Source organism: Homo sapiens, chromosome 12, assembly GCF_000001405.40.
Source record: "Homo sapiens chromosome 12, GRCh38.p14 Primary Assembly".
NCBI lineage: Eukaryota > Metazoa > Chordata > Mammalia > Primates > Hominidae > Homo > Homo sapiens.
Genome location: NC_000012.12, coordinates 43,976,593 through 43,993,705, shown reverse-complemented (window position 1 = coordinate 43,993,705; position 17,113 = coordinate 43,976,593). Strand labels below are relative to the sequence as shown.

At 37.2% G+C, this 17,113-nt stretch overlaps 1 protein-coding gene across 10 annotated transcripts in view, besides 1 other annotated feature; it reads right to left on the bottom strand.

The window, feature by feature from the left end:
• TMEM117 (transmembrane protein 117) overlaps window positions 1–17,113 on the bottom strand; it is a 603,307-nt gene that overhangs the window by 405,403 nt on the left and 180,791 nt on the right. The window lies entirely within an intron of this gene.
• Window positions 13,669–14,300: an enhancer, noted in NCBI's record as "OCT4-NANOG hESC enhancer chr12:44373209-44373840 (GRCh37/hg19 assembly coordinates)". NCBI's record gives its function as "activates a minimal SCP1, AML or CMV promoter by ChIP-STARR-seq in naive and primed H9 embryonic stem cells {active_cell/tissue: H9 hESC(naive and primed)}" and the evidence as "EXISTENCE:reporter gene assay evidence [ECO:0000049][PMID:30033119]".

Genomic DNA, 17,113 nt, shown 5'->3' with positions numbered 1-17,113 from the left:
TAGAAAAAAGAGACAAAAAGTCTGAATTATAGGTGGTTTTTAATTTAATATAAACAATTCTATATCTGCTGCCTGCCTGAGATAGATACATAGTGATGTTTTTTTCACCTCCCTCCCATTTTCTCCTCATATCTTCCACCCCCCTCCATCTTCTCCAAGTCTCTCCTCTCAATCCCAAACCCTAACACAAGAGTCTAGTGCACCAGGGATATATGTGTGCTCAATCATTAGGCTTAGGAAATGCTTACATCTATGTAATCTGTCCCTTGAAAGAGTTAAGGATCCCTTGAATTGAGCTGAGGCATATAGTACAAGTGATAATGATAAGTGTAACAAACACCCGTTGTTGAGCATCCATTATGTGCCAGGCACTGTGCCAGGTGTTTCACATTTCATACTATAAAATTCTCTCAACACATCTGTAAAGTAGGTGTTACTATAACATCCATTTTACAGATGTACAATATTTTATAGCCAGGAAGTAGCTCAGTTGGGATTGCATTCTGGCACAAAGACTACAGTTTGTCTAACTGATGCCCTAGAGGTTTACTTGAATGTCTTTATTCCAGAAAGACCAAGCAAAAGACTTTAGCTAAAGTATCACATTTATGTGACCTTTTCTCTGCCTACATAATCAAGGCAGTGTCTACTTTCTGTAGCTTTTCTTGCACTTTTTGTCTGAACTACTGAACATTTGTTCCACACTGCTGTGTATTGTTATTCATTCAATATATATTTAGTGAGTATCTTCCTTGTGCCAAGATTTGGACTCTGGGGAAATACCAGTGAACAAGATGTAGTCTTTAACCTCAAGCCTCTTGGGTTTAAAGATGAACAAGGACATAAAGGTTATTACACCTAAGGGATCAGGGAAGACTTCTTGGAGTTGGCATATAAACCAAACCTTGAATGATGAGTCGAACATAGCCTGAGGAAAGGAAGCAAAATGGGGTCCAATAATGCAACTTGTGCCACAGCTCAAGCAGGAAGTGAAGCTGGGGGCCTGGGCCAGACCTGGACACATGCATACCTGAGAGAGCATGGAGAGCTGGAACACTGTCTATTTCAGAATTTGGACACAAAGTCAGAGGACATATGTGGTATAAACAAGCCTGAAGAAGCAGTCAGGTTGGGCATGGTGGCTTATGCCTATAATCCCAACACTTTGAGAGGCTGAGATGGAAGGATTGCTTGAACCCAGGAGTTCGAAACCAGCCTGGGCAACATGGTGAGACCCGTGTCTACAAAAAGTTTAAAAAACAAAAAAGAAATTAGCCAGGCAGGATGGCATGCACCTGTAGTCCCAGCTACTTGGGAGGCTGAGGTGGGAGATCACTTGAGCCTGGGAAATGGAGGCTGCAGTTAGAAACACACCACTGCATTCTAACCTGGGCAATACAGTGAGACCTCATCTCTAAATTAAACAAATTAATTAAATTAAGTTAAAATTAAAATAAACTAATTCGGAAGTACATGGAGAGCAATGAATTTTAAGACAGTGGTTATTATGCTCAGACTTGCCTTTTTTTTTTGGAGACAGGATCTTACTCATTCACCCAGACTGGAGTGTACTGGAGTGCAGTGGTGCGATCTTACCTCACTGCAACCTCCACCTCCCAGGCTCAAGTGATCCTCCCACCTCAGCCTCCTGAGTAGCTGGGACTACAGGCATGTGCCACCACTCCCAGCTAATTTTTGTATATTTTTTGGTAGAGATGGGGTTTCACCATGTTGCCCAGGCTGGTCTCAAACTCCTGGGCTCAAGCAACCCGTCCGCCTAGGCCTCCCAAACTTGCATTAAGTTCAGTTTGGCTTCAGTGTGGAAAATGGGTCACAAAGGCTGAGACTGGAAACGGAGAGAGCAGTTTGGAGGCTGCTGCCGTCATTCAAATGAGAATGGATGACGGTCTCATTTAAGATGATAGTATGGAAAACAAAATAAGATGTAATAAGCAATCTCTCTCTTGCTCTCACTCTTGCTCTCTCTCTCTCTCTCATTTTGTCCGTAGATAATAATTAGAACTAATATTTACTGAGCATATATTATGTAGCAGTCTCTTTCCTAAGTGCTTTATATTTGATTCCTTTAATCCTCAAAACAAGCCAGTTCCTCATTATATACATTAGGAAACAGATTGAAATCAAGTTACTTGGCCGAGGTCCTTGAGGAGGTCAGGGACAATATCTTATATTTCTTTCATTTTGGACAGATAGATAGACAGAGATAGATTAGATAGATAGATAGATAGATAGATAGATAGATAGATAACAATAAATATTTGTGGATTGGTTATTACAATTATTATCCAGTGGAACAAAATTTCTTGGACAATTTCTTATCTCCCGAGGTGCTCAAATGGAGACTATGTGACGATTTGTCAAGGATATTTTGAAACAAAATCCTATATTGTGTGGAAGTTTTTCTCAGAAAATCCTAAGGCCCCTAATAATACTAACATTCCGACGACTTTATAATTGGAGGAATTTAAAGGATGCATGACTTGATCATTAAAAGAGAAACCTCTGAGCTTGCAAGGTTCTCCACCAGTAAGAAAATCATCGCTAGTGTCACCCACACTTGCAGTCACCATATTCTCTGGCTACTATTTCTGAGGCCCTCTTTCAGTGCTCCCCATATGACAGGGCAAACGGAAATACCTAGCTTTGTGTGACAGGACACTGATCACACATATTTCCCTGAAAACCTAATCAAAGTATAGTAGAGACACAGTGATATTTTATTAAATTCTTAAGTCCACTTTAATTCCCTAAAGCACCAGCGTATAATAATATGCTAATTTCCATGGACAATGTAGCATTTTAGAATGGAATTAGGGATATATTCCAAGGAAAGGTTGAAAATCTCTCAAATCAGAGAACTGTGCCTTTATTGCTTTTCTAATATTAACATGCTCGGGGACTTTGGGCAGGTCTCTTATGCCTCTCTCAGCTTCATCTGTACCTCATTTGTAAAATAAGGAATAATACTTAACAGCTACCTCACAGGGACATACTGAAAAAATAATGAGCTAATATAGACAGGCAAGATGCTTTGAGATCTTTGGATGAAAGATCCAGCACACTAAATCCTAATTAATGTTAAAGAATTAAAGAGGCACACAAATCCTATTAAATGTATATATTTCAGAGGAATGGACCATGATATCATAAGTTATATAAAAAATCTTTTACGGTGTGAGGTATGAAAACATTAAAATACAAGATCACTTTATAAATGCCCTCTCCTTTTAGATTAAAAGCCAGTAGTGCTCAATTCCATCTTTTTTCTAAAACTTCAAAGGATAGTGAAATGTCCCATGATAGTATCTTAAAAGGAAATCTGGAGTTACCTTAAAGTCATTTTTGGATAATAAAATAGTGTAAAGTCTAAGTTTTTAAACTGCAAGAAAAAAGACCTCAGATTCATTTGACCCTCAATTCCTGTGCTCATCTACATTTTTCACGTGGGTTGAAAGCAGGCAGATGGTTAACAGCTGCCAGGAATGACAGAGTTCTAGACTAAAGGATGATGATCCATTGCTCTAATATCCTCTACTTCAAGAACTATCTTTAAGAGTTTTTTAAATCAATTTTCTTATAATTAATATTTCCTAAGGCAGATCAGCTTCCATATTAGGAAATGCTGGCCTTGATTTATGTACTAGCTTAAATCTTACCAAAGGGCATGTTTCCCATTTTAGAAATATAGTCTAAAATGCCATCTGAGAGCTAGTAGATAATACAGTCACTGTCTTATTCAAAGGCATTGTATGGAAGGTATGCAGAAATAACACAGAAATAAACATTTGTTTCAGAGTCAGAAAATGCCACTGATCCACAAGATAAGACAGATTTTAAGATCTAAGTTCTTAAATGAAGATCAATTACTCCAGATTATTGTTTGAGGCTAAAATTTTAGGCATAAATTAAAATAATAACAATAATTAATAATAATTATCTGGAGGAACAGAGGAACAGATTTTATGGATCTAGGATTCCTAACAAGAGCTATGACATTCTCATAAGGCTTAAACAGCTAAGTACAGCATCCCCTAACAGAGAAAACAATTGTCCAGAAAAATAAATACATTTGAATTAAAAGAGGTCATCGATCTCTGATTGGAATCTTGCAATTGAAATTTCTAATATCCAAATGTTACTCTGCTTTCACAGATATCAACCATTCTTTGAAAAAAGAGAGAAACCAGCCACGGGTAGAACAAATTATAGAATGTAGAATAAGATTGCCGTTTAAAAAAAAATGTAGCAGTAGAGAGATTCTAGGTCTTATATTTATGAAACCAAAACTAAATTTCAAATACAAATGAGTCATCAGGAAAGCATAACTGCAAAACTACCTGTCAGCCTACTTCCCATTCCAGGGAGGTCTGAATCAAGCACAGTGACTAGAAAGCAATGAATAATATAAACATACGCCCAAGAGGAACAGATTCTGAAAACCTGTCCCAGAAATATAAAGTTGGAAGGCATAAAGTTTTATCTATTTGTAAACCTACTTTTTAAATATTTCATCAGGACCAATAAAAAATTGAACATGACATGTGCTATCTTATTAGCACTTGGAGAAGAGTCAGTAAATGCCTCATACTGGTACCACCGCTCCCTTTTCCCTTGCCCACAGTAAACATAACTTATTGAAAAATGATAGTTTCTCACTGAGTATAGGGAGGGTTTTTGAATCCTTTTGAAAACATTGCCCCACTTAGTCACTACCTATCAACTGTAGTTGTGTTCTGAGGTGACAGCTATTTCCTATCTACAACTTAGAAACTCATAAGGAAAAGGTGCTTATAATTAAAAAGCAGTGGTTTCTTATTTACGTATTATGTTTAGCAAACACTTAAATACATACTTGTAAACGTTTTGCAAAATACCAACGATCATTCAGAGCAGCCTCATATTTATTTCATTTTGTTTTTTAATATTTGTATAAATTTATGGGGTAAACATTAATTTTGTTCCATGGATACAGTGCAGCGTGGTGAAATCAGAGGCTTTTAGGGTATCCATCACCCAAATAATATACATTGTACCCACAAAACTCTTACTGACACACCCCAACCTATCACCATGCAATTCCCATTGCTAACCATTGAAATACTTCATGCTGTTCTTTGTAGAATTTTCCAATGCATTACAGTCCATATGTTCTCAAGACTACATACTTTCATTCTAATTTGCTGCAATTTAATAACAGCTTTCCTGAAGGAGAAGAAATAAAGCACTACCATATGAATGTAATTTAATTGTAACACTGCCAAATTTTTGGTCATTAAAATATGAAAAATGTGTGTGATATATATGGACATAAGCAAAACCTTAACACTCACACTTCTACTTCTGTGAGTGGTACTTTTAAGCCAAGGGTTAAATAACACAAATTCACACATGTAGATCTCATTTTACTAGATGCTGCCAGGCATCTAATACATACACACATTTTTTAATATATAGGTGAATCCAACGTGCCCAATTCTGTGAAGGCTTATTACCACACAGTATCTTATTTTACTCTATTATAAAAAGATATTTAAATGAAACCTTTCTATTACAATATTTCAAATTTTCATGTTTTCCATAGGTAGTAATGTCTTTCCTAAGGCTTGTTCTAAGATTCTAAAGGCATTTCAACCAAAAAGAAATATATTATTTTAGTTGATACAAAATTAGAATATGATAACAATACCCTGACAAATTGAAACTGGTGGTTTGCCATGATTAACTGCAGATATTATATAGAGTTAAAAACAAGATCCCACCCCATCTTCAAACATTCATGTGTTTTCCTGACAAATATAGAAATAAATATTAATTTTCAACTTCCTGGAGGAAGCCAAGAAAGACTTATAACTTGCAGATATTACAGAGCTCAGAAATCAATAACACTGAATCATCAGAACAAAATGTAGTCCATGATTAATGTACATGTTTTTATTTTATAGGGATAAATATGAACACTGCTCCTAACTTTACGAAAGAAGAAATGCATATGCTAACAAGCACATGAAAAAGTTCTAACTCATTAGTACCTAAAATAACACAAATTAAAATAATACTCAATTTTTTGTCCATTAGATTAATATGTTTTCAACTGACTCAGGGCACATAAGACTCCCAAGGGAAAAAAAAAAAACTAACTAAAAGCTTCATTGAGAGGTTAATTCACAGTAAAATGTACATTCTAAACAAGACAATGTGAGTATCATAGGGACAAGATAACAGAAATAAAAAGCTAGAAAATAGATTAAAATATGTTAAACAGAATTAAAGACATCAAAAAATGATAAAAGTCACATTAAAAAATCACTCTAGCATGTGCATGACTTGGTGAGTGTGCCATAAGAAATATCCCATGTACTGGGTAACTAAACCAACAGAAATTTATTTTCTCACAGTTCTGGAGACTAGAAGTCTGAGATCAAGGTGTTGGCAGGTGTGGTTTCTTCTGAGGCTCTCTCCTTGACTGGCAGATGGCCACCTTCTTGGTGTGTGTTCCACACTGTCTTCTCTCTATGTGTGCTTGTGTCTGGTGCCTTAACTCTTCTTATAAAGACACAAGTCATATTGGATTGGGGCCTATCCATATGACCTCATTTTACCTTAATCATCTCTTTAAAGACCCTGTAGCCAAATATAATCACATTCTGAGATACTGGGGGCTGGGGCTTCAACGAAAGAATTTGGGAGATGGGGACATGATTTAGCCCTTTAGCCCATAACTGTATAGAAGGGAGAAAATATGACTTAAAAAAGAATAAAATAAAACTTATGGAAATAAAAAAATATAGCCTTAAATTTAAAATCTAATTGGTAGGTTAAACAGCAGAAGTTCAGTTTGGAGTTCTGAAAAGAGAATTAGTGAACTGGAAAACACCTGTGGATAACATCAATATGCACAGAGAAATAGAAAGGTGAAGGATAAGACAGAATGATTAAGAGAAACTGAGAATAGGATGAGATGGTTCAATTTATGTCTCATTGAAATTCCAGAAAGGATGTTACAGAAGTGAGAGGTAATAGTTAAAGAGATAATGGTTGAGAATTTTCCAATAGTCTGAAAGATATTGATTCTAAAATTTAGGAATACCACGAAGTTCTAAGGAAGACAAATGAAAAGAAATCCACATTTAGATGTACTGTAGTGAAGTGCAGAACTTCAAATACAAGGAGATCTTAAAAGCAGTAATGGAAGGAAAAAAATCATAAAGACATCAGCAATAATAGATGCCATAGGACAACAAAGTAATGTCTTCAAAGTGCTGATGGAAAATAATAGTCAAATTCTAATCCTATATCCAGTTATACTATCATTTAAAAGAGAATGCAAAAGGAAAAGAAAAATACTTTATATCAAAAACTTAATCATGAGTACTTCTAAGTACATTAACTGTAGATGATTTTTATTTCTTCTTTATATTTTTCTGTATTTTCAAAAATTTCTGTAATCAGTTGATTTTTTTAACCTCTATCATTTTAACATTAACAATTTACATTTACACAAAAAAATTAATTAAAACACATTCATCTTTGTTAAGACAACTGAACAGAATAACTTCATAGTCATTTTCTTCACTTTAATCAGTAATTTTTCTTTCCTGGTGTATTACATCTCAGAGCCCACTAGAATAAATATCATTCATTCAGACTTTGATTCTTTCCCAATAAAATGTGTGACCAAAAAAATAATAATAACAATTTAAGACAAGACGTGGGACTGCAATTTAGAATTCAAGTATAGCAGAATTATAAAATGTAATTAACTCAGCATTGTTGAACCAACAAACATAGAACTTTCAACTTGAAGTATGTCCTCTGGACCCCTCAGTGAAGGTTTGTTCTTTCAGCATGACATATTATGTTAGCAGTGACGGGCAAGGCCAATGAACAAAAGCAGAAATCCTGTTGGGATTCCATCCTCAGTTAATCCTAGCTTGTTTCAGAAATTACTTTCTTTTAATCACCTTCATTTTCAGTTTCTAGCATTTGCTTACCAACATCTTGATTAGTTTTTATTAACATATCTGACACTAATTATAAGCTGAGTGATGCTGCTAAATCTTTCCTTCCAAAACAATGTTCCATACACAAACATTTGAAAATAAAATCAGTAAGAAATAATCATCCACAATTATTTTTTGCAAGCACTTTTTAAATGAATAACTATCATAATTAATATGTAAAAAGTTATGCTCTTCACTAATAATTTCTTAAATTTGGGGTAACAATCAAAATATACAATGATAAATAACCCAGCTATTTTGTTTTTCAGTGTTTCTTTGGAATAGGCCAAATTTTTTTAAAAGTATATCACCTTTTTTGGTTCAAATATTACTTTCATATGAATATAAAGCTTTGACCTTGTAATTTTCAATGTTTCATTGCAATTTTACTGGCTTTTGGGCTTTGGCAGGATCCTGCTGTTTTTCTTGCAATAAAATGACTTTAAAATAACTTTCTAGCCCACACTTTACTTGGTGAGCACAGAAGATAACGGCTTTAAAAAAAATCTCTATTCAATCTATAAAACATTCTTGAGAATTTCAAGCAACCGTTTGACCTCTTTGCATGTAGAGATATGTAGGAACTTATGGACATTTCCCTCCCATTGTTTTCTATCAAATGATTCCTAGTTTATTAATATGCAATCTTTATGCATGTTAGGTAAGTACAAAAAAAAATCTCAAAGAGAGAAGTTGCAAATAAAGCCATCACACAGGAACTTATTTCAGCTCAAATTTCTATTGGAAATGCTCCCATTTCATTGATATTTCTTTAAAAGAATCTTTCTCCTTCAACATTTAATGGCATGGTTTCATTTTGCAAATAAAAGACATTTCGGTATGTGGGCTGATTTTAAAACAAACGTTCCATTTTGCATGACTGAAGACAAATGAGATTAACAAAAAAAAACAGATTACAAAATAATACTTTTCCTTTACCTCTTTGGACTAAATATTTGAGTAATAAATGCTTTGGTTCAAACACAAGGCATTACATCCAAATTGTTTAAGTGTCTCTTGTACTAGTTATTGGTTCCTACAAGGGTCTATCAATAGGGGAAATTGATGTTCTAATTTATTCCACCCAGAATTCAAATCTCTCCCTATGATAATGATTTTCTGTAAGTCACAAAGAAATGTTAGCAGATACTGATAAAAGGAGATTAACTGCAGTGGAAAGAGTCAGGTGTTCATCTGATGAAAACACTATCTCAATGTAATATAGTAGTCATGGTACACCTTTCAGCTAAATCAGGATTGGGAAACTAATGATATGCTGTTGTTGTTGTTGTTGTTGTTGTTGTTGTTGTTGTTGTTGTTACGGAGTCTCACTCTGTCGCCCAGGCTGGAGTGCAGTGACGTCATCTCAGCTCACTGAAACCTCCACATCCCGGGTTTAAGCGATTCTCATGCCTCAGCCTCCCGAATAGCTGGGACTACAGACGTGTACCACTGCACCTGACTAATTTTTGTACTTTTAGTAGAGACGGGGTTTCACCATGTTGGCCAGGCTGGCCTCAAACTCCTGACCTCAAGTGACCCACCCGCCTAGGCCTCCCAAAGTGCTGGGATTACAGGTGTGAGCCACCCCATTCAGCCATGATATACTTTTAATCCCCTCTGGTTCTGACCATTCTGGTTTCACATGCTTATGGGAGTCTATATGGGGTAACAGTGGCTTTCCAGTTTAAAAACAAAAACAAACAATTCATGGCAAGAATTCTATTATGCATTGTGAGCCAACACAAAAAAGCAAATACAGTTTATGAAAAAGTACCTATTATTAATATATGCATTACTGATATTTTTTATTCTGTTCTTTTTTGATTTTTTTAATGCTTGTTGAGTCCCATAGACTGGAGTGTAAAGTGCTAACTGTGACCTTGGACAAGTTATTTACCTTCCTTGTATCTCAGTTTTTTTCACTCTGAGTTTACAAAATTAAATGAGATAACATATGTAAAGTTCTTGGCATATCATAAGTTCTCAATGTAGATTAATTCCCTCCTGTTCACACTACTCTTTGTTACTTATATATAAAGTAAATCCTCATACTATGTTGATCAAAGCCAAATATTAAATGCCAACCATACACACACACACACACACACACACACACACACACACACACACACACGGTTGGTGCAAAAGTAATTGCAGTTTTTGCCACTGGAAGTAATGGCAAAAACCACAATTACTTTTGCACCAACCTATAAATTCATGTGCAAACTGTGATACAGGCTACAGCAGTGACTCCTAGTGTATTACACCTCGCTGTATCCATGACCCTACATGGCCCTCTTCCTCACAGACTGTGAACTTGGCCATGGGACTTACTTTGGCCAAAGAGGTATTAGCCAACATGACACAAACAGAAGTTTAAGAATTGCTCCTGCACTGGATCTTGCCCTCTTGGTGCTGGGAACTCTTTCTTGCTACTTTTAGAAGGCTGCCACCATGTAAACAAACCTGCAAAGCCTACCAGAGACTTGTAGTCCTGCAAACAGCCAGAACCACCAAACGTGTGAGTAAGGTCATCTTAAAGCATGTCAGAAAACAGCTGCTTGAGATGGGCAAAAGAATATCCAGCTAAGCCCAGCCTGAATTGCTGGCCCACAGATCAGCAATCAAATAAAATGGCTGCTGTTTCAAGCTTCTAAACATTGAGGTGGTTTATGATGCAACTCCTTTAACTGCATAGTATTTATTCAACTTTATAATAAGAATTTAAAAATGAGATCTGTTAATCTGCTTTAGAATAATAGATTAAGGATATCATTGGCCAGGGAAAATGAGGTAGCATATGGAAGGGGTCAAAATACCTTCTCCGGGAAATTTGTATAGCTCAAGTCTTTGATAGCTGAGCTTCTAAACAAAATACATAATATGTGAATACGCTCTGTGTTCTATTTGGCAATATGACAGAACAAGTAAAAGAAGAGTCATTCTATTCACAGTTTATCTCCCAGGAGAGATTGTGACTGAGGAATTTGTTCTGTGATTTTTCCTGAAAGGGATAAGCACACAAGATAATTTTTAAGAGGAAAAGAAGGTCTTCTCCCAGAATGAGCTAAGCAGAAAATATTAAGATGCCATCTCAATAATTTGTCAAGTATATGTAGGGAAGTAGATTAAATAATTACATAATGTAGAAAAGGTAGAAGGTATTATTTTTTAATGCATTTAATTTGAAAAAAAAAGGTTAGAAAACAAAGAGTATGGGGGTTTCTTAGCAGTAACCATATTTTCCTGTACCTAACGTGAAGCCAGTGTGTAGACTCAGTTTGCCTACCAGACATCTCCCTTTTGTGAACATGGATACATTAGAACCTGCTGTCATTAGCCACTCAGTAGTGCACCCATTTCCCTTATTCAGATTCACACTCACCCTGGACCCTTCTGATCATTTTGTATTCCTCGGGGAAACTATTTTAGCTGACCCACACATCTGGTTTCTCTGACATTTGTAGTCTCACCTTAAAAGAATGAACTCACATTCCTATTTATACATTAAAATGAAATTTTTAAATTTTTCATTGGCATATTGTAATTCTACATATTTACAGGGTACAATTTAGTGTTTTGATACATATATATATTGCATAATGATCAAGTCAGGGTATTTGGTGTATCCATCAACTCATGCATTTATCCTTTCTTTGTGATGAGAACATTCAAAGGCTCTCTTCTAGCTATTGTGTAATATACAATACCTTACTGTTAACCATCATGACCCTACTGTGCAATAGAACACCACAACTTACTCCTCCTATCTAATTGTAACTCTCTGCTCTTTGACCAACCTCTCCCCATTCTCTCCTCCCCCTCACCTTCCTATCTCTGGTAATCACTGTTCTACTCTCTGCTTCTATGATACCTACATTTTTTTTCTTTGCAATTCCATATATGAGTGAACATCTCTTGAAAAGGTAATTTTTGTAGTAGAACCCATTTTCTCTTCATTTAGATTTCATTTTGAGGCAATACTTTGCTCTATTGCAAACACTTGTATCTTTTTTGTAATACTAAAGAATTTTGGACTAGGTAGAGGTATTAGAAGTCAGAAGGTTTAACCAATCACTCAAAGCAGAAATCTTATCTATATTCTCCCTGATAGGCAGTCTATCTCACAGTTTCTCGAACACTTCTACCAGTAAGGAACTCATTGCTTTACCAACAAAGCAGGCACTTTAGTTTTACGTGGCTCTAACAGTTAAAAAGTTATTGCTTATATTAAGCCCCAACTGAAGCTCTATAACTATGATCCATTCATCCTTCCTCTTTCTGTGCTCCAGCACTATACAGATTAAGTCTACTCCCAATTATACATGACAGCTCTTCAAGTATTTGAAGATAGTGATAATATTCCCCAAGCTAAAACCCAGATTGAACAATTCCTGAAATAAAATGGTCAGAAAAGCCTTTATTCAAGTGGTCTGGCCTCCAAATATAATCAAATGGCCAATGAACCTTCAAGAATATAGACTTGAGATGTGGTGAAAATGTGCTAGACATGGTGTAGGAGATCGGTCAGGGTTGTGGGAAAAGTTATAAAAATTATAGGGAAAGACACTAACTTTCTTGGAAGGCCGGGAAGCTTTGCAAAGCTTTGGGGAAGAATGAGCTGAAGGCAGCTGTTCTTACCCTGGGGCAAAGGGCGAGGGCAGATAATAAGGGAATGTAAAGAAACCTATCTAGATAAATTTGTTTACTCCTGTCTCCAGAAACCAACCTTTGATCATTCACACTCAGGACTGCTCTCTACTCAGGGAGTCAACAATGTTTGTTACCCACAAATTGTGTTTGCTCCAAGCCTTTGTCATTAAATCTGTACTAAATAAATGTGAGCATCGCCGGCTTCGGGGGCTGCTAACTCTCTTCAGCCCCTAATGCCAGCAGTCCCCTAGCCTGCTCTTTCACTGGATACCTGTGTCTGAGTACTTCTTTCATCTGTTGCTTGGCCAGAGTCTGCAGGACAGACTTGGCAGGTGGTACCCCATGTGAGGAATACTGCAACAGATCACAATGGAACCCTCTAAAATGGAAGTGAAGAGACTGCACAGTCAGTAAGTCAGTAAGTCATTGGTGCCCACTCGGGATTTCCAAGTTTAAGGGAATTATTCAGGCTAGGGTTTCATCATGGGACAACAGTTATCAGCTCAAGAGCAACAGTATATAAAAGTATTGAAGCAGCTGCTTAAAGCTACCACAGCCTCAGTTTCATAGGCTCAATTAAGGGACCTAATGCAAACTGTTGTATCCCATATCCCATGGTTCCTAGAAGAAGGTACGCTAGATGTAGAACTCTGGGAACAAGTGGGAAGAAATCTTAAACAATATCATGCACAAAGGCAAAGGGTCCCAGTAACAACTCTAACATTATGGGCTTTAGTTAGGGCTGCTTTGATCCCACTCCACACAGAAGAGCCTAAATGGGAAAGGGAGGAAGAACTATCACCTACCTTACTACCTCCTCCTTCTCCCTCAGCCAAGCCATTACTGGGCAAAAATAACAAAGAGGAAATGCAGGTTTTGCCTAAGCCCCCTCCTCCAATAAATTGGAAAAAAGACAAGGGATACACTACAGCTGTGGGACCCTATCTTAGGCAAGTGTCATTAGAAGGGGAGCTCTTAGCCTGCCCAGTAATACAAGATCAACAAGGCAATCAGTTCTATGAACCCATTTCTTTTGACGCTTATCAAGAGATAAGAAAAAGCATTAGAGAAAATGGAGCCGCTAGCCCATTTACAAGAGGGTTAATTGAGGTCACTCTGCAGACCCCTTTCTAATAACGGCCACTGTTATTCCTCCCCTACCCCTGACATAGCTCTCTCAAAGTCCTATTTGGATAGAACAGTAGCCTTTAAAGGGAGAGAAATTACGAGCCCATGAATTAGTTGAGGAGCAATTTAAAGCCAGCCATATAGAATATCAAACAGCCTTTGGAATTCACCCATTTTTGTCATTCCCAAAAGATCTTGCAAATGGAGACTTTTGCATGACTTATGGGCTATCAACGCTAATTTGCAACCTATGGGGCCCCTTCAACAGGCCCTCCCTTCCCCCACAGCGATTCCTCAAGATTGGCCTATAGTTATTGTTGACTTAAAAGACTGCTTTTATACTATTCCCCTTGCAAAACAGGACAGAGAAAAATTTGCATTTACAATACCAACTATCAATAATGAAAGGCCAGCTCACCAATTTCATTGGAAAGTACTTCCTCAAGGAATGCTAAACAGTCCTACCATGTGTCAGTATCATGTAAATCAGGCTTTGCTCCCCAGTAGAAAAAAAATTTCCTAATTGCAAGATTATTCATTTTATGGATGATATTTTACTAGCAGCCCCAGTGGAGCCAGTACTTTTAAGTTTATATGCCTCTGTCATAAAGAACACACAGTTAGGAAGTTTAATCATAGTACCTGAGAAAGTAAAATTGTCTTCTCCTTGGAAGTATCTTGGATACATATTAACTTCCTGGTCAATAAGACCTCAAAAGGTTAAATACTAGCAACTTACACACCTTAAATGATTATCAAAAATTACTGGGTAATATTAATTGGCTTCGCCCCTCCTTGAACATAACTACTGATAAGTTACAAAACCTGTTTTCTATCCCAAAAGGCAATACAACCCTAGACTCTCTCAGGCATTTAACTCCTGCAGCAAAAAGGGAAATTAAGGAAATAGAGCATACTATTTCTCAGAGGCAACTAGATTGCACAGACCCAAAATATTCAGTCCAATTGTTTGTTTTTCCTACTAAACATTCCCCAACAAGATTAATAGGACAGATGGCCCCAAGGCTATACTTCCTAGAATGAGATTTTTGCTCACATACCGGGACTAAAACACTATCTCCCTATATCCAGCTAGGTAGTAAACTCATCTATACAGGCCACAGATGATGCAATCAGTTGCTAGGTTATGACCCTGATGTCATAAGAATTACTTCAAGTAAAAAGCAATTTTAAGCAATAATGCCCCTATCTCTAGATCTTCAGATAACACTCTCTGATTATACAGGCCATATAGAGCATGCCCTTTCTGCTGACAAACTAATTCAGTTCTTATCTCGTACTCCTGTAGTTGTGCCTACAAAAGTAGTTCACTCCCCCATACCTAAAGCTTTAACACCTTTTACTGACAGCTCTGGTAAAAATGGAAAAGTGGCTGTTTGGTGGAGACCACATAATTCCCTCACTCGTTCTGGACTTACTAACATTCAGAGAGCTGAAGTTAGAGCCTTAATATTGGCCCTGGAGACCTTTTCCGTTCAGCCTATCAATATTATTAATGACTCTGCTTACTCTATTTATTGCAGAACCTTGAAACAGCTCTCATTAAGTCCACTCTTGAGCCCACCCTGTGTGCACTTTTTCTTCAACTTCAGCAATTGCTGGATCAACATACACGTCCTATTTTTATCACACATATTCAAGCCCACAGCTCACTGCCTGGCCCACTGGCTTACAGTAATAATCAAGCAGACCTGCAAGTTATGACCTCACTGCTTGACCAAGCCACCCAATCACATCAATTTTTCCACCAAAACTGGAGGAACTTAACTGAACAATTTCAACTTACCCAAAGACTAGCTAAACAAATTATCCTGCAATGCCCAGATTGCCAGCTCACAGGCATGTCCCCTCCTTCAACAAGTGTTAACCCTAGAGGACTAGAACCTAATCAGTTTTGGCAAACAGATGTTACATATGTCCCTGAATTCAGAAAACTAAAACTACATATGTACATGTATCCATTGACACCTATTCTCACCTAATTAGCACACATGCTCTTCCTGGAAAGTCCAACCAATATGTTATTAAACATCTTCTCTCAACTTTTGCATTTATGGGGTGGCCCACAAAAATTAAAACTGGTAATGGTCCGACTTATGCCAGCTCACAATTTCAACTATTTTGCCACATGTGGAACATCCAACATTCCACAGGCATCCCATATAACTCTCAAGGGCAGGCCACAGTAGAATGTGTCCATTCCACTCTTAAAAATATGCTCAGAAAACAAAAAAGGGGGAATATGAGTAAGGACCCTGCAACACTACTAGCACAAGCCTTATTTACCTTTAATTTTTTAAATTTAAATAATAAATTCCAATTAGCTATAGAAAAGCACTTTGCTAAAACCTCTCTAGACATAAAACCCGCAGTTTTATGGAAAGATGTAAACAGTAATGTATGTAGTGGTCCAAACAAATTGCTAACATGGGGAAGAGAATATGCTTGTGTTCATACCCCCTCAGGTCCTCTGTGGATTCCAGCACGACACATCAAACCCATACCATGGTGTGGCTAGGACCCAACCTGGTATCAGAAATGAAGGAAATGTCCCTGCAGAACCCGCAGCCCTGGATGATGCAGCTTCCTTGGATGACACAAGCCCCGGACATTACCTAGGAAATGCTGAAGAAGACAACTCAGGAGGCTGAGTGAATCCTGCTCCAGAAACAGACACCATTCACTTCAGATAATCTGTTCCTTGCTATACTCTCTGTTGTACATCACAACTCTCATAGGGTATTTATCCTTTTTATGCTCTCGCTCTGCCTGCAACCTGCACCTGCTACACTCTATTAGGCTCATCTCTTAGATCTGCCTTTCTTCCACCCTGTTACTTGGGCAGTCTCTAATAACATAACTGCTTAGCTGAAAGGGGTTAACATACCCCTAGTGGGGGGTTCCTTAGTAACGGCACACATTGAACTGAGGTGCCAAGTAATACTACATGTCACTCCTTGATTAGAAAAGAATGTTACTGATTATACTCATGTTTGTCTTATGTTATTTACTAATTCTAGGATGCAAAGCCAGAACATGAGTTATAACCGTGGCACCTGACAAACCTGTTGCTGCACACATCTATACTCTTCAATCAACAAAACCTGATGCAAAAATCAGAAAAGGGGGAGATGTAGGAGATCAGTCAGGCTGGTAGGAAAAGTTATAAAAATTATAGGGAAAAAGGCAAACCTTCTTGGAAGGCCAGGAGGTTTTGCAAAGCTTCAGGGAAGAATGAGCTGAAAGCAGCTGTTCTTACCCTGGCAAAGGGTGAGGGCAGATAATAA